The sequence below is a fragment of the Homo sapiens genome, chromosome 4, assembly GCF_000001405.40.
Source record: "Homo sapiens chromosome 4, GRCh38.p14 Primary Assembly".
Taxonomy (NCBI): Eukaryota; Metazoa; Chordata; class Mammalia; order Primates; family Hominidae; genus Homo; species Homo sapiens.
The window spans coordinates 692,262-708,773 of NC_000004.12; the positions used below are offsets into that span (position 1 = coordinate 692,262).

Below are 16,512 nucleotides of genomic sequence, written 5' to 3' on the forward strand. Positions count from 1 at the left end.
TCTTGCTTTCCAAAAGGATCTCTGGTCAGGTTTGGTAGCTCACGCCTGTCATCCCAGCACTTTGAGAGGCCAAGGCGGGCAAATTACCTGAGGTCAGGAGTTCGAGACCATCCTGGCCAACATGGTGAAACCCCGTCTCTACTAAAAATACAGAAAAAATTAGCTGGGCATGGTCTTGGGTGCCTGTAGTCCCAGCTACTCGGAAGGCTGAGGCAGGAGAATCGCTTGAACCAGGGAGGTGGAGGTTGCAGTGACCTGAGATGGCACCACTGCACTCCAGCCTGGGCGACAGAGCGAGACGCCGTCTCAAAAGAAAAAAAAAGAGAAAAGAAAAGGATCTTCAAAAGCTTATTTAAATAATCCTTAACATACACAGTTATGGCTAAATTTGCATTTCAATGCTGTTATCTCTCTTCTTTTAACCCAACATAGACTTCTGTCAGCATCCCAGACTAGCATTCGTTAATTGCGGGCTAATGTGTCTTTCCTAAACAGTATCTTGTTCAAAATCAAGCCACTGGAAACAGTTGCTCTGCCAAGGCTGAAGGAGGAGGCAGGCCGCCTTTTCCAGCCTGTCAGGGAGGAAACCTCACCTGCTGCGCTGAGACGGCCTGCCTGTCCTGCTGCTCCTCTGAGTGGTTTTTATCTGCTCCTCCCAGAGAACCTCAGCAATGTGAGGGCAGGAGCCGTCTGCCCACCCCGAAGCCCTGGGGGAAGGACTGCCCGGCACAGCTCCAGGGTAAAAACAGAAACCGTGGGACGCATGGCCTCTCTGCTGTGGGTCCCTCCACCGCCCCGGGCCTGCCAGACAGGTTCTTCCGCGGGGTGCCCACTTCCTGTGTGGAGCCTCCTTGACCCGTCTGGTTCCATGTGCCCCATCTCCACGCGCCTGCATGCCATCACTCCCACCCATCTCTGCGCCTCCCTCCAGGGCCCGGCTGCTGATAGCCCATGCGGGACAGCGCCCGTGGCCGGGACTGAGTCGGCACACCCAGACCCGGGTGCACAGGCTGCCCCAGAGTGACAACGTGAATGCATCCTCAAGCATGTGGAAGGCCCATCCTTTTACAGAGATGTGCACGGGAACATGAGCCTGTCTATTTACTTAGACAAGGGAGGGCCCTGGCCACGTCCAGGCCACAGAGGGAACATGAGCCTGTCTATTTACTTAGATGAGGGAGGGCTCTGGCCATGTCCAGGCCACATGCCACTCCAGTCGGACCTGCCAGAGAGGAGCCCTCCGTGTCCTCCTCCTCCCCTCCCCGTCCAGCGTGGAGGCTCCCGTGAGCCCCGAAGTCGGGGCCCCTTTAATCTGGAGTCTAGGGGGCCCCCTCTGTCTCTCCTTCACAGAGGATTTGGTATAAGCCGTGGAAGGACCTAGTGTTCTCATTTGTGTGTAAATGAAAATTAAAATTCTAAGCCCCCAACCAAAGGATGGACCCTCCCCTTGGCCAACAACATTCCAAATTATCCTGAAAAACTGCTTCAGGCCATGAGGGGAAATGGGAATCAGAGCAGCCTCACAAACATCAACACAGAGACCTTCAGTCTCCTTGAGTCTGATAAGCATTTACCATCTATTCTCTCCCAAGTCTTCTCCCTGGAGGCTTCATCTGCAATAAACCTTGCTCTCTACAACCTCTCATCTTAACCCAGGGATTCCTTTCTGTTTGATTCCAGGTCTTTAGATAGTAAGTCCTTCACCAATGGCCAATCAGAAAATCTTTAAATCTACCTGTGACCTGAAGCCCTCCACCTCCTCATGTTGTTCAGCCTTACCAGACTGAACCAATGTACATGTTACATGTATTGATCGATGTCTCATGCCTATTTAAAATGTATAAACCAAGCTGTGGGCTGGGCGCAGTGGCTCATGCCTATAATCCCAGCACTCTGGGAGGCCGAAGCGGGTGGATCACTCGAGGTCAGGAGTTTGAGACTAGCCTGGCCAACATGGTGAAACCCCATCTCTACTAAAAATACAAAAAATTAGCCAGGCGGGGTGGTGCGTGCCTGTAATCCCAGCTACTTGGGAGGCTGTAAAAAGTTAAGTAGAGCTTCCTCTTCAAAAACTTTCCTCCCCATCTAATTAGGAATAAATAGTAACTTCTCTTAGAAGCAAAATTTATTCAAAGACCTGTGCTAACATTCTTAAATATCTGCTAGCCATAATAAATAAATGAATGTACTTTTTTTTCTTAGCTCCCACAAGTTAGCCTAAATATTTGCCCTGGCATACTTATACTGGTCCCAGCAAGCATTAGGTCACAGTCTGTTCCTCTTCCTTATTTGAAGGTGTTTTTACCTTTCTCAGCATTCCACAAATTACTTCCTCCTTCCTTTGTTCTCCTCTGCCTTTGCCTCTTTTGAAAAGTTCTAAGTTGCTAGCCAATCGCGACCAATACAGAATGTGAGGTCCCGTTCCAGCCAATGGAAACCAGACACAGCAGTCGGGGGGACGCGTCAGGTTATAAATGACCCTGTCTCCTTTGTTCGGTGTACCTTCACGGCAAAACTGCTGGCGAGTGTGCCCTTTCTGCAGAAAGTAAGAAATGGCCTTGTTGAGTAAATTAAATTTATGTTCCAGTGCTATTTCTTTACAGCACCGGGGAACAAGCATTTCAAACAAGGCTGAGGCAGGAGAATCGTTTGAACTGGGGAGGCGGAGGTTGCAGTGAACTGAGATCTTGCCACTGCACTCCAGCCTGAGTGACAGAGTGAGGCTCTCGTCTCAAAAAAAAAAAAAAGAAGGTGAAGAAGAATTTTTGTGTGTGTGTGTGTGTGTGTGTAGGGTTTAAATAGTTAACTAATATTTTGTACATTGTGTGATCAGGTATCTACTTTCTTATCTACATGGTGTGAAATGAGTTTGTGTGTGTGTGTGTGTGTGTGTGTGTGTGTGTTATAAAATGAACATGTGTTAAATCAGAGACTTGAAGTGCCTGAGACTTTGCTCTGCTCACAAGCTAACAAGCTAGCCAGCCAATTTCACACATACGTGGACACGGGAAACATCAGTTCCCGTGGGTGGACGGGACGATGTGGGTGGAACTTGGACAGGCAGCAGGTGCATGTTGGGGAAGAACCCCAAGTTTAGGAAACTCTCTTATCCTTTTTTGTTTTTTCAGACGGAGTCTTGCTCTGTCGCCCAGGCTGGAGTGCAATGGCACAGGCTCGGCTCACTGCAACCTCCCCGTCCCGGGTTCAAGCGATTCTCCTGCCTCAGCCTCCTGAGTAGCTGGGATTATAGGCGCGTGCCACTACACCCAGTAATTTTTGTATTATTAGTAGAGATGGGGTTTCACCATGTCGGCCAGGCTGGTCTCGAACTCCTGACCCTGTGATCCACCCGCCTTGGCCTCTCAAAGTGCTGGGATTATAGCTGTGAGCCACCGCACCCGGCTGAAACTCTTTTTTCCTTTATGTGGCTGCTGGGGGCCTCCTCATCCTCGCTTCCAGAGAGACAAACCTGGTCTCTTCTCTGGTGTGTAAGTAAGCCTTCTCCAGGGACAGAGGTAGGTGGGAGGCGTTGTAGGGGTGGAGGAGGTCTTTGTCCTAGAGACGGGGTTTCACCGTGTTGGCGAGGCTGGTCTTGAACTCCTGACCTCAAGTGATCCACCCGCCTCAGCCTCCCAAAGTGCTGGGATTACAGGCGTGAGCCACCTTGCACAGCCTGGACAAACATTCTTAACGTGGTTTCAGTGACTCTGAGGACCTGGACCGTGGAGAAACATGAGGTGTGGAAAATTGCCTCCCAATAGGGTCTAACCTGCTTTAAGACTGTGAGATGGAGGCTGGGCGCGGTGGCTCACGCCTATAATCCCAGCACTTTGGGAGGCCGAGGCGGGCGGATGGATCACGAGGTCAGGAGATCAAGACCATCTTAGCTAACACAGTGAAACCCCATCTCTACTAAAAATACAAAAAATCAGCCGGGCGTGGTGGCAGGCACCTGTAATCCCAGCTACTCGGGAGGCTGAGGCAGGAGAATCGCTTGAACCTGGGAGGCGGAGGTTGCATGAGCCAAGATCGTGCCATTGCACTCCAGCCTGGGCAATAGAGCAAGACTCTGTCTCAAAAAAAAAAAAAAAAAATGCCAGGCGTGGTGGCTCACGCCTGTAATCCCAGTACTTTGGGAGGCTGAGGCGGGCAGATGACGAGGTCAGGAGATCGAGGCCATCCTGACTAACACGGTGAAACCCCATCTCTACTAAAAATACAAAAAATTAGCCTGTAGTCCCAGCTACTCAGGAGGCTGAAGCAAGAGAATGGCGTGAACCTGGGAGGTGGAGCTTGCAGTGTGAGTGGAGATCGCACCACTGCACTCCAGCCTGGGCGACAGAGCGAGATTCCGTCTCAAAATAAAATTTAAAAAAAAACTTTGAGATGGGTATTTAATGTTTTTGCCTGTCTTTTGGCAGGTAGGTATTGTGTGTGTGTGTGTGTGCGCGCGCACATGCCTGTGTGTAGTGTATGTGTCTAATTTCTCTGTGGGTATGACTGATATCTAACATTTTGTGTATAGTGTGGCATAACTACTTTGTGTATGTTATCAAATTTTTATTGAATATGTTGGAAATGAGCATCTATCTTTGTTTTTTGTTTTTGTTTTGTTTTTCTTTTTGAGATGGAGCTCCTTCTGTTGCCCAGGCTGGAGTGCAGTGGCGCGATCTCAGCTCACTGCAACCTCCACCTCCTGGGTTCAAGCGATTCTTCTGCCTCAGCCTCCCGAGTAGCTGGGATTACAGGCGCCTGCCACCACGTCTGGCTAATATTTGTATTTTTAGTAGAGACGGGGTTTCACCATGTTGACCAGGCTGGTCTGGAACTCCTGACCTCAGGTGATCCACCTGCCTCGGCCTCCGAAAGTACTGGGATTACAGGCGTGAGCCACTGCACCCAACCAATTTTGTTCTTTTTAAGGTTGTTTTGGCTATTCTGAGTCCCCTGAATTTCCATATAAATTTTAGGATCAGCTTGTCAATTTCTGAAAAAAGCTCATTAGGACTTTGATATGGATTGTGTTGAATGATTAGGTTGGAGACACCTTAACAATATTGTCTTCCCACCACGGACGCAGGACATCTTTCCATTTACTTAGACCTTCTTTAGATTCTTTTGGTCATGGTTTGTAGTTGTAGCTTTCAGAATATTAGTTTTGCACTCTTTGGCTACATTTATTTGCTTTTTAAAATTATTAGACTTTATGTTTCAGAGCAATTTTAGATTTACAGAAAAATCTATCAGAAAGTACGGCGTTCCCATATACCCCTCTCTCCCCCAAACCCTGCACTCCACTTCCCTGTTATCTACATCTCGCATGAGTTTGGTACTTTTGTTAGGATTGATGAACCGATATCGACACGATCTTCTTAACCGAAGTCCATCCTGAAGTCCACACTGGATGCTCTTTGTGCGGTGTGTTCTATATTGGTTAGTTAGTTAGTTTGTTTGAGACAGAGTCTCCCTCTCTCGCCCAGGCTAGAGTGCAGTGGTACGACCTCGGCTCACTGCAATCTCCGCCTCCCGGGTTCAAAGGATTCTCCTGCCTCAGCCTCCCAAGTAACTGGGATTATAGGCATGTGCCACCACGTCCGCCTAATTTTTGTATTTTTAGTAGAGACGGTTTTGCCATGTTGGCCAGGTCTCAAAACTCCTGACCTCAAGTGATCCGCCTGCATCAGCCTCCCAAAGTGCTGGGATTACAGGCGCGAGCCACCGTGCCTGGCCGTTGACATTCGATGTTTAACCTACACAGTTAACTGCACATTATTCCAAGATAGGCCAAGTCCATGCAGTGTCTCCAGGCTCTTCTGAGCAGGCCGGGGCTTTAGAGCGTGCTCCCTGCTCACCACACCACACGCAGCTTTCTGGTGGTCATTGCTGAGTTTTAGTTTTGTGTAAAAACACGCACACACAGGCCGGGCGCGGTGGTTCACGCCTGTAATCCCAGCACTTTGAGAGGCTGAGGCAGGCGGATCACCTGAGGTCAGGAGTTCGAGACCCGCCCAACCAACATGGTGAAACCCCGTCTCTATTAAAAATACAAAATTAAACTCCGTCTCTACTAAAAATACAAAAAATTAGCCGGACATGGTGGCACATGCCTGTAATCCCAGCTACTCAGGAGGCTGAGGCAGGAGAATCACTTGAGCCCGGGAGGCGGAGGTTGCAGTGAGCCGAGATCGCGCCACTGCACTCAAGCCTGGGGGACAAGAGCGAGACTCCGTCTGAAAACAAACAAAACAAAACAAAAAACTACACACACACACACACACACACACACACACACACACACAGGTGAACGGCTGGAATTATTTCTCCGGCGATGGTTAAATGATACTTGGGTTCAGTTGTTGGTGATGTGCCAGCTGCTCAGGGTCTGGTTCTTCTGACTCTTTTGTGGGCGTCCTGCCTCCCCATATCCGGCATCCTACCAGGCGTCCGAGCATGTTCCTAGCACGGTGTTTGCGTCTCCACCTGCAGAGTCAGGTTAGTCCTCAAGTCTGAAGCTCCTCACGACTCTCTCTTCCTCTGCTCTTGTGAGATCATCACGTCTGCGATTTCAGCCCTGCCTGGCTCCCCTGCGCTTCCACTGCTTCCCTGCCTCCCTGTCCTCAGCAGCGTCACTTACAGCCACACCAAGCTCTTCAACTGGTTTGTGAATTACCTCATGGACTGGTTTTCGTGTGTGTCCAGGACTATAAATTTTATTTCCAAGATTTCCACCTGGTTGATTGAAACAGGCATTCACTGATGCGTTCACCCAACAAACTCCCATGAGGCCTCCTCTGCAGGGCACCTGCGGGCACTTCCGGCTCCCAGAGGGGCCTGGCGTCTGGAGGGAGAAGTGGAAGGAGACTGAAGGGCGCCTGAGGTGGGCAGGCGGCACAAGCAGCAAGCGAGGGCGGCAATCTTTTTTTTTTTTTTTTTTGAGATGGAGTCTCGCTCTGTCGCCCAGGCTGGAGTGCAGTGGCACTATCTTGGCTCACTGCAACCTCTGCCTCCTGAGTTCAAGCAATTCTCCTGCCTCAGCCTCCCAGGTAGCTGGGATTCCAGGTGCCCACCACCACGCCCAGCTAATTTTTTTTGTATATTTAGTACAGATGGGGTTTCACCATGTTGGCCAGGCTGGTCTCAAACTCCTGACCTCAGGTGATCCACCCACTTTGACCTCCCAAAGGGTTGGGATTATAGGCGTGAACCACCGGGCCCGGCTGATTTTCAACATTACCAAATATCTAATCAGTGTCCCTCACCACGATTGTTGCGTAATGTGCTTCGTTTCGTTTTCAGTTTGCGTGACTCAGGATGCAAATCAAGCCATAGGTCTACACTCACTTCCTCTCGATTGTTTCTCTCATTGTATCTTCTTCAATCCCCTGCACAGCTGGTTGTGGAAGAAACAGTTCCTAGTCCTGAGAGTTTCTGCTGACATTCCAAGGCATCTCCCGCCTGTCCCCGAATTCTATAAATCAGTGTGAGACCCGGAGGCCTAATCAGTGTCTTAGTGTGGGTCCCCAAGAAGCAGAGCCTGAGCTAAGGGGCTTGGGGTGGGTTGGGCTGGGATCTTTCCTCGGGCGACCACCTTAGGGAGTCAGAAAGGGGCAGAGAGTGTGAAATGGGAAGAAACAGCAACGCTGAAGAAAAGGTGCATCCCAGGGCTGCCTGAGTCCCTGGGAGAGCTCCCCCTGCACCGTGGGCCCCAGCCAGAGAAGGCCTGGGACGAAGACCCACTGGGGGGCCTCCCACGGAGCAGCCAGAGGGGCGAGGCTGGGTGGGGGGACGGAGCACCTGCTGCACCTGTATTCAGGGTGGATTTTTAAGCAAGATCTCGTTGTAGCCGTGTCGCTTTCCTACCAGGAGGCCCATGACATCCGGCTGTCTCTCTGGTAATGTTCATATCAATGACGGTTGTTACCTGTGTCATTATCTCACTGGGGCTGTGACGGGGGAGAGTTTATTCTATACTTTCTTCATTTACCAGCTGCAATGTTCCTAGAGAGAAGCCAGCACTCGCCAGATCTTTGGCCACCCCGAGGTGTCGTGTGCATAAGGGAAGATGAGAGGCTGGTTGACGCCCACCCTTCACCAGTTTTGTAAATAACAAGCTGGCGCCCCAGAACCCATCCACAGCAGCTTTTTCAGTGGCATTATGCATTCGTGGTGCAAGCATCCTTACTGTGCTTCAATCAGTGGCTTCAGTCGTGGCCGGCGCACACTGATGGAGTTTCTTCCTCGTCGCGGGTCATATTTTCCTCTTTGCATGTCTGATGACTTTTGATTAGATGCAGGCGTTGTTCACTTTCCCTGTTGAGTTCTGAGTATATTTGCATTCCTATTAAATATCCCTGTGTTTTGCTCTGGACACAAAGTCAAGTTACTTGGAGACACATTGGTCCTTCCAGCCTTCTGAGCTTTGGAGTCTGGACCAGCGCAGAGTTCGCTCCTGTCCCACAGCTGACCGCCCTGCCTGGTGCCCCTGGGACGACGAGGACATCCTGGGGCCGGAGGGGGTGCAAAGACTCCCAGCCCTGTTCCGCCAGCTTCTTTCCAGAGTCCTTGCCAGCTCCGGGCAGCTCCCACATGCCTGCCCCATCCTGGAGCTCTGGCTGTGGGCAGTCCCTCCTCTCCGTCCCTGCCCTGTGGACTCTGGTGTGTGGGCCTCCCTGACTCCCAGCTTTGCCTCCTCCGCCCAGCTCCTCTCCCTGAGTTGCAGCCAGGAGGCTTCCTTTAGGCCTCGCCCCATTTGCTCCTCTCTCAGGCACCATGTCCTGTGCTCCCTGATGCCCAGTGTCTGAAGATCGTTGGATGTATTTTGTCCACTGTTTCAGCTGCTTCGGGAAAGAGGGTAAACTCACGCCCTGCACACACATGCCGATGGCACAGAGATTGAGGCTGTGAGCTTTGCCTCCCCCTGGTGTGAAAATACGTCATCTTCTGGCTTTGCAGTCAGTGCTGTGCACCTCAGTTTTGATCTGCCTTGTAGTTTTATGAGTCTCATGAGGGAATTCGGGGAGATACAAAATTCTTGCTACTGCCACCATCTTCCCAGAATCCACAGGGATTTATTTATTTATTTATTTTATTTTGAGACAGGGTCTTCCTCTGTCATCTGGGCTGGAGTACAGCGGTGCAATCTCGGCTCACTGCAACCTCCACCTGCTGGGCTCAAGCAATCCTCCCACCTCAACCTCCCAAGGAGCTGAGGCCACAGATGCACACCACCATGCACCACCATGCCCAGATACTTGTTGTTGTTTATTTTTAGTATAAACAGGGTTTCACCATGTTGCTCAGGCTGGTCTTGAACTCCTGGGTTCAAATGATCCACCAGTCTCGGCCTTTCAAAGTGCTGGGGTTATAGGCATGAGCCACTGCACCCCACCTATTTTTATTTTTTTATTTTTTATTTTTTTTAAGAGACAGGGGCCAGGCATGGTGGCTCATGCCTGTAATCCCAGCACTTTGGGAGGCCGAGACAGGTGAATCACTTGAGGTCAGGAGTTCGAGACCAACCTGGCCAACATGCCAAGACTCCATCTCTACTAAAAATTCAAAAATTAGCCAGGTGTGGTGGCTTATGCCTGTAATCCCAGCTACTTGAGAGGCTGAGGCACGAGAATTGCTTGAACGTGGGAGGTGGAGGCTGCAGTGAGCCGAGATCGTGCCACTGCACTCCAGCCTGGGTGACAGTGTGAGACTCCATATCAAAGAAAAGAAAAGAAAAGAAAAGAAAAGAAAAGAAAAGAAAAGAAAAGAAAAGAAAAGAAAAGAAAAGAGATGGGGTCTCACTATGTTATTCCAGGCTGGTCTCAAACTCCTGCGCCCAAGTAATCCTCCCGCCTCAGCCTCCCAAAGTGCTGGGACTACAGGTGTGAGCCACACTGGCCTCCACAAAGCATTTTTAGGGCAGGCAAATGGGTAGAATGTTCAATGGTAAATGGGTAGAACTTCAATGGTCCCTGCTCCAGGTAAATGGCAGCAACTGTGAGCCCTTTTCTCATCTCGCAGGACAGCATATCCTGGATACCGGAGGTCACTCTGTAAGTAAGAGTGTGTGGTACCATCAGTCTCTTCTTTATCAGTCTTCTTTATCTTTATCTCTTCTTTATTCACTATCCAAGGTGTGGAGGTTCAAGAGTGTATCCGATTAACCGTGTGGATGGCCATGTTTTCAATTTTTCTGTTATACATTATGCTGCAATTAATAGCCTTGGTCATCCATCTTTTTTATTCCTGCCATTTATCTCTGGAATAAAGTCCTATTTGGGGGCCACTGGGCTGAAGGATAAATGCCCGTGTACTTTGCTGGATACTGTCAAACGCTCCTCTGCTCCCACCACTCACGTCTGAGAGCCCTGTTTCCTGACAGCCTTGCCAACAAGGTGAGTGAGTGTCAGGGAGAGCTCTGGGTGGAGTGAGCTTGGGGAAACAGGCAGAGGTGGGAGCAGGGACCTCAGAGGACGTCCTTATCATCACGCGCTGGGTGGAGCGCTCCCACTTGGGTGTGACGGGACCCGCTGGTTGGCTGCTCTGTTGAGGATTGACTGGGGGTGGGGGGCCCAAGGCTGTGGCACCAGTTCCAGCAGGACAGGGCGGGTTTGGGCCAGAGCAGCCTTGGAAAGCCATGGTTGGATGATGGGAAGTTTCCAAGACAGAGCTGGCAGGACTTTCTGATGAAAACAGAAGAGAGCAATTGGGAACAAGACCACATGTCTGTACCCCAGCAACAGAAAGGGTGGTGACAAAGGCAGTTGGATTTACCCCACAAAGTCCTGGAGCATTTGGTTGAGACATGGGGGTAGGCGCAGATGCCTGATGTGCTTAAGAGAGAACTCGGGGAGGGAAATTGGAGAAAGAGTTCCTGAAGAGTGACGCTGTGAAGACAGCAGAGAAGCACAGGGTCCAGCGAGCTCTTTCTGTTCTGCTCCATCCTCAAGGATGGGCAGACCCTCTGCCAGTTTGTGAGTGACCAGAATGATCTGCCAGAGAGGCACCCAATGGCCCTAGGAGGCCCTAGTGACTGGGTGGGCAGGGAGGGCGGACCGGCACCCTGGGGAAGGTTGGGGCACCCTCTGGGGGGGACAGGGGCCTCCCCTCTACTCCAGTCTGCTTGTGCCATGATTCCTGCCTCCCTTCTTTACAGCTCTGCTAAGGAATACGTGCCTGTATGTAATATGTGCACACCCCGAACTCACACCAGGACAGCACACACTGCCAACACCCTAGGCTTCTTTGGCCCCGATGCCTCCACCCTCGGGCCTTGGCTGAGTGAGGTCCCAGGAGGGTGCAGGTGGGAGACCTGGCTGGCTGCCGATGGGCCATGGATGGCCAGTTTGGGCATGAGAGGAAGAGGGTGCAGAGGACTCTGGGGTCTTGCCTCAGGACTGGCGGTGGGGGGTGGGGGGTCCTGGGGTACACAGCAGACTCAGGATGGCCTGGGGAAGCCATCCGGCCATGTGGCATTTAAGCTTCCTAATGACATTCAGCAGAAACAGAGCTGGACACAAGAGCCCAGGGCTCAGAGTCAAGGTCCGGGCACCGCTGGCACCCACCCAGGAGAGTAGTGGGAAGCCTAGGGGTAGGGTCTGCACCTCCTTGAGGAGGGGCCTGGGGCCTGGAGTGAGTTCTGAACTGCAGCTTACCACTCTGCCTCTTCCTGAGGCCACCACACTCAGCCCAGGACTGTTCCTGGCCTGCTGGCCACCCCCTGCCCCTTGCACCCCAGCACCAATACCTTGCCCCTGCCCTCCTTCTGGGATGATCCTCCAGTCCTCCCCTCCACATCTGGGGCCTGCCTCCACCAACTGAAAACTGCAGTCAGGGCTCTTGTGGAGGGCCAGCACCCCAGTACCCCAATCCCAGGCAGCCCTCTCCAGTGGGCCCCTCCCCTGCACTGGGCCACCCCATGGCTCCACGGAGCCCTCCCTGCCTCCCCTCCCCCGGGGGCAGCAGTGGCCACATTTAGTCCCTCCCCTTCACAGCAGCATGCCTGGGAATGCTGTACACATTCACATGTCTGCTGTCTGTCCTCCTCCCACCCGGATAACGTGTCCACCCAGTGCTGGAGATCTCAGCAGGCCCCCAGCCCTTCTCAGGCCCCTCTCAGCAGCGGACTCAAGCCGCTTCCCCACGTGCTGCACCATACCTGGGCCCGGGGCCCCCTGCCTGGTGGCTGCTCCCGGGGTCCAACTCTAGACTTCACGGGGACAGTCGCAGGGTCACTCCCTCAGCCACCACCTCTCCAGACGGGACGAGCTAATGACTCCCGACTCCTGCTCCATGCCTGCACCGCACAGCCTCGCAGCGAGTGCCCCTGGGCCTACGGGGCCTCCCCTCTCGCCACCAAGCCTCCACACTGCGCGGTGCCCCGCCGCCCGGAACCACAGTGGTCTCGCTTCCCACCCAAGACCCAACCTGCCCTCCCGTCCTGGGCCGCCAGCCCAGAACCCGCAAACCGGGAGACCCTAGGACCCCGCGTGCCTGCACGTCCGCCTCACCCCCGCACGCGCCCTCGGTCCTCGGATCCCGCCCTCTCAGGACAGTGCCAGTCCCACGAAGGCGCAAATGCCGCCCGTACTGCTCCACCCTGGCGGAGGGCACCCAGGTCGGAGAGTCCGCACGTGGGTGCCCTGTCCGTCCTGATGCTGAACATAACCTAAATACAAGCCTAAACATGACCAGACCCGAACCCCTGACCCTGACCCCACCCCTAATCCTGACCCTAACCCTAAACCCAACCCTAACCCTAAACCTAACCCCTAACTCTGACCCTACCCCTAATCCTGACCCTAACCGTAAAACCAACCCTAACCCTAACCCCTAATGCTGACCCTAACCCTAAATCCAGTCCTAACCCTGACTCTAACCCTAACCCTGACCCTAACCCTAAAACCCAACCCTAACCCTAACCCTGACCCTAACCCTAAACCCAACCCTAACCCTAGACCAGACCCTAACCCCTGACCCTGACCCCACCCCTAATCCTGACCCTAACCATAAACCCAACCCTAACCCTAACCCCTAATGCTGACCCTAGCCCTAAACCCAGTCCTAACCCTGACTCTAACCCCTAACCCTGACCCTAAACCTAAACCCAACCCTAACCCTGACTCTGACCCCTAACCCGACCCCTGACCCTAACACCGACCCTTAACCCTGCCGGGAGGGCGCTCAGTCCCGGCTCCCACAAAGGACAGCAGCACCCGTACTGGACGGCACCCCCGGAGGGACCCGGGCCTGAGGACTCTGCTGCTCCAGCGCCCCAGCTCACGATCGTCCAGGACCCGTCGGGTCCCTCAGCACAGCGCGGCCCTGTCGCTCTCCTGACCACGCCCCTCATGGCCCCGCCCTATGCCTCGCCCCTGGCCCTCGCGCCCCGCGGCTCCCTCCGCCGAGTCCAGGCCCGACGCGCCTGCGCCCTCTGAACACGCCCCTCCCCGCCCCTATCCCCACCCCTTACCGCCTGGCCCCGCCCACGCCCCTTGCCGCGGGGTGGGAGCCCAGACGCACACCGCGCATGCTCCGAGCGCGGCGCCCCCGACGCGGCGCTCGGCTCGGCTCGGGCATTTCCGCCTCTTTGTTTTAAACTCCGGACGGGCTTTTTTCTCCTCCTCTTGGGGGGGACCCAGAGGGAGCGGCGCCCCCTCCCCCCTCCGGCGCGGACCCCGCGTGCGCCTTGCTCGCCCGCAGCCCCGAGACCGCAGGTCAGTGAGTCCGCCCCGCCTGGCCTGGGCCCTCGGCGCCCGCTCCTCAGGCTGCGGCCTCGGCCCGTGTCCGGCCCGGAAGGCTCCGAACCCCGGGCCCGCGCTCCGTCGTCCCCGTCGGCCTGGCCCGGGAAGCCCTTGGCAGGCCCGGGAGGGCCGGCACCCCAGCCCAGTCAGGACTCCGGGAGGTCGAAGACCCCAGCCCAGGCAGGACTCCGGGAGGGCCAAGAGCCCAGCCCAGGCAGGACCCCGGGAGGGCTGGGACTCCAGCCTAGGCAGGACGCAGGGAGGGCAAGACCCCAGCCCAGGCAGGACTCCGGGAGGTCGAAGACCCCAGCCCAGGCAGGACCCAGGGAGGGCTGGGACAGCAGCCCAGGCAGGACGCAGGGAGGGCAAGACCCCAGTCCAGGCAGGACGCAGGGAGGGCAAGACCCCAGCCCAGGCAGGACTCCGGGAGGTCGAAGACCCCAGCCCAGGCAGGACCCAGGGAGGGCAAAGACCCCAGAACAGGGAGGGCCAAGACCCCAGACCAGGCAGGACCCCGGGAGGGCCAAGACCCCAGACCAGGCAGGACCCAGGGAGGGCGAAGACCCCAGCCCAGGCAGGACCGCGGGAGGGCAGGGACCCCAGACCAGGCAGGACCCCGGGAGGGCCAAGACCCCAGACCAGGCAGGACCCAGGGAGGGCGAAGACCCCAGCCCAGGCAGGACCGCGGGAGGGCAGGGACCCCAGACCAGGCAGGACCCTGGGAAGGTCGCGACCCCAGCCCAGGCAGGACCCAGGGAGGGCGAAGACCCCAGACCAGGCAGGACCCAGGTGAGGGCGAAGACCCCAGCCCAGGCAGGACCGCGGGAGGGCAGGGACCCCAGACCAGGCAGGACCCTGGGAAGGTCGCGACCCCAGCCCAGGCAGGACCCAGGGAGGGCGAAGACCCCAGACCAGGCAGGACCCAGGTGAGGGCAAAGACCCCAGCCCAGGCAGGACCGCGGGAGGGTAGGGACCCCAGCCCAGGCAGGACCCTGGGAAGGTCGCGACCCCAGCCCAGGCAGGACCCCGGGAGGGCTGGGTCTTCAGACCAGGCAGGACCTGAAGAGAGTTGGGCTCTGGGATTGCACAGGACCCCCAGAGTGCTAGGACACAATGACACATCATCCAGGAGGGTCTGACCCTGGGACAGGTCACCGAGAAGGGCTGGGACCCCAAGATGGGTCACCAAGGAGGGTCGGACCTGGCCACCTGGCAGGGCCCGGGGGGGCTAGGACCCTGGGAAGAATCACGGAGGAGGGCCAGACGTAGGGACCAGGCAGAATCCAAAGAATGCCAGGACCCCAGAATAGATCCCCCAGGAAGGTCCTGCCTTAAAGTGGGTCACAGACGAGGGCCAGGACCCCATGACCATAATTCAGGAGGACCTGACCCTGGAGCAGTCTTGTGAGTCCTGTGAGCACTGCTGGGACCCTGAGACTGCCCCGTCTCCCCCGGGACCCTGAGACAGCCCTGTTTTCCCCTGGGGGCCGGGACCCTGGGACAGCCTGTTTTCACCCGGGGGCCGGGACCCTGGGACAGCCCTGTTTTCCCCTGGGGGTCGGGACCCTGGGACAGCTCTGTTTTCCCCTGGGGGTCGGGACTCTGGGACAGCTCTGTTTTCCCCTGGGGGTCGGGACCCTGGGACAGCCCTGTTTTCCCCTGGGGGTCGGGACCCTGGGACAGCTCTGTTTTCCCCTGGGGGCCGGGACCCTGAGACAGCTCTGTTTTCACCTGGGGGCCGGGACCCTGAGACAGCTCTGTTTTCACCTGGGGGCCGGGACCCTGGGACAGCTCTGTTTTCCCCTGGGGGCCGGGACCCTGGGACAGCCCTGTTTTCCCCTGGGGGTCGGGACCCTGGGACAGCCCTGTTTTCACCTGGGGGTCGGGACCCTGAGACAGCCCTGTTTTCCCCTGGGGGTCGGGACCCTGGGACAGCCCTGTTTTCCCCTGGGGGCCGGGACCCTGGGACAGCCCTGTTTTCCCCTGGGGGTCGGGACCCTGGGACAGCCCTGTTTTCCCCTGGGGGCCGGGACCCTGGGACAGCCCTGTTTTCACCTGGGGGCCGGGACCCTGGGACAGCCCTGTTTTCACCTGGGGGCCGGGACCCTGAGACAGCCCTGTTTTCTCCCAGGGCCCGGCACCCTGAGACTGGACAGTGAGAAGGGCTCATGACATGGACAGGCTTCTAGATGACCAGGACCTCAAACGGGGTCACTTAGGGTCGGGACACTGGTGTGGACTGGGAAGAAGGCTAGGCTCTCAAAGAGGACCTGATGAGAGCTGGAACTTCCAGACAGGTCCTCAGAGGGCTGGGACTCCTGAACAAGTCACTGAGGAGCATGTAGGCCCCAAGACTGGACTGTAAGGAGTACTGGGACCCTCGGGGGGGAATCCAGCAGTGTCCTGAATCTGCCCAGTCCACTCAGCTGGATGCACCTGCTGTGAAGGCCAGGCATCTGGCATCCTGGTACCCGAGGCCCTTTCCATGAGACCCTGGGCCAGCCCCACAGCCCCTGCACATGAACCGCCTAGGTGATACCTGGGGTAGGTATGAGGCAGGGGCCTCAGGGTTCCAGGAGCTCCCAGCCCACAGGCTCCACACCTCAGGCTGGCACTGCACCCTCCCACTCAGCCCCTCGTCCGGGGCTGCTGTCCTGTCCTTGCCTTGGCTGTGGTCCGTGTCCAGCACCTTCAACCCCTCCTGCCCCTCTCCCCATCTTCAAGGTCATGTGAGTGCCCCACTTCCTCAGTGTAGAGGCGTTTCCAGTGTCCGGGA

General features: G+C 55.8%; 1 protein-coding gene across 5 annotated transcripts in view, besides 9 other annotated features; it reads left to right on the forward strand.

Annotated features, from left to right (window-relative positions):
- Positions 286 to 873: an enhancer, noted in NCBI's record as "H3K27ac-H3K4me1 hESC enhancer chr4:686336-686923 (GRCh37/hg19 assembly coordinates)". NCBI's record gives its function as "activates a minimal SCP1, AML or CMV promoter by ChIP-STARR-seq in primed H9 embryonic stem cells {active_cell/tissue: H9 hESC(primed)}" and the evidence as "EXISTENCE:reporter gene assay evidence [ECO:0000049][PMID:30033119]".
- Positions 874 to 1,460: an enhancer, noted in NCBI's record as "H3K27ac-H3K4me1 hESC enhancer chr4:686924-687510 (GRCh37/hg19 assembly coordinates)". NCBI's record gives its function as "activates a minimal SCP1, AML or CMV promoter by ChIP-STARR-seq in primed H9 embryonic stem cells {active_cell/tissue: H9 hESC(primed)}" and the evidence as "EXISTENCE:reporter gene assay evidence [ECO:0000049][PMID:30033119]".
- Positions 2,568 to 3,068: an enhancer, noted in NCBI's record as "H3K4me1 hESC enhancer chr4:688618-689118 (GRCh37/hg19 assembly coordinates)". NCBI's record gives its function as "activates a minimal SCP1, AML or CMV promoter by ChIP-STARR-seq in primed H9 embryonic stem cells {active_cell/tissue: H9 hESC(primed)}" and the evidence as "EXISTENCE:reporter gene assay evidence [ECO:0000049][PMID:30033119]".
- Positions 8,533 to 9,033: an enhancer, noted in NCBI's record as "H3K4me1 hESC enhancer chr4:694583-695083 (GRCh37/hg19 assembly coordinates)". NCBI's record gives its function as "activates a minimal SCP1, AML or CMV promoter by ChIP-STARR-seq in primed H9 embryonic stem cells {active_cell/tissue: H9 hESC(primed)}" and the evidence as "EXISTENCE:reporter gene assay evidence [ECO:0000049][PMID:30033119]".
- Positions 11,591 to 12,318: an enhancer, noted in NCBI's record as "H3K27ac-H3K4me1 hESC enhancer chr4:697641-698368 (GRCh37/hg19 assembly coordinates)". NCBI's record gives its function as "activates a minimal SCP1, AML or CMV promoter by ChIP-STARR-seq in naive H9 embryonic stem cells {active_cell/tissue: H9 hESC(naive)}" and the evidence as "EXISTENCE:reporter gene assay evidence [ECO:0000049][PMID:30033119]".
- Positions 13,294 to 13,993: a silencer, noted in NCBI's record as "silent region_15106". NCBI's record gives its function as "represses an Ori minimal core promoter by ATAC-STARR-seq in GM12878 lymphoblastoid cells {active_cell/tissue: GM12878}" and the evidence as "EXISTENCE:reporter gene assay evidence [ECO:0000049][PMID:35858748]".
- Positions 13,294 to 14,344: a biological region, named in NCBI's record as "H3K27ac-H3K4me1 hESC enhancer GRCh37_chr4:699409-700394".
- Positions 13,359 to 14,344: an enhancer, noted in NCBI's record as "H3K27ac-H3K4me1 hESC enhancer chr4:699409-700394 (GRCh37/hg19 assembly coordinates)". NCBI's record gives its function as "activates a minimal SCP1, AML or CMV promoter by ChIP-STARR-seq in naive H9 embryonic stem cells {active_cell/tissue: H9 hESC(naive)}" and the evidence as "EXISTENCE:reporter gene assay evidence [ECO:0000049][PMID:30033119]".
- PCGF3 (polycomb group ring finger 3) overlaps positions 13,571 to 16,512 on the forward strand; it is a 64,258-nt gene continuing 61,316 nt past the window's right edge. For all 5 annotated transcript variants that reach the window (NM_001395245.1, NM_001317836.3, NM_001395246.1 and 2 more), the window contains exon 1: positions 13,571 to 13,709. The gene's annotated coding sequence lies outside the window, so the exon portion shown is untranslated. The remainder of the gene's footprint in view (positions 13,710 to 16,512) is intronic.
- Positions 14,345 to 15,329: an enhancer, noted in NCBI's record as "H3K27ac-H3K4me1 hESC enhancer chr4:700395-701379 (GRCh37/hg19 assembly coordinates)". NCBI's record gives its function as "activates a minimal SCP1, AML or CMV promoter by ChIP-STARR-seq in naive H9 embryonic stem cells {active_cell/tissue: H9 hESC(naive)}" and the evidence as "EXISTENCE:reporter gene assay evidence [ECO:0000049][PMID:30033119]".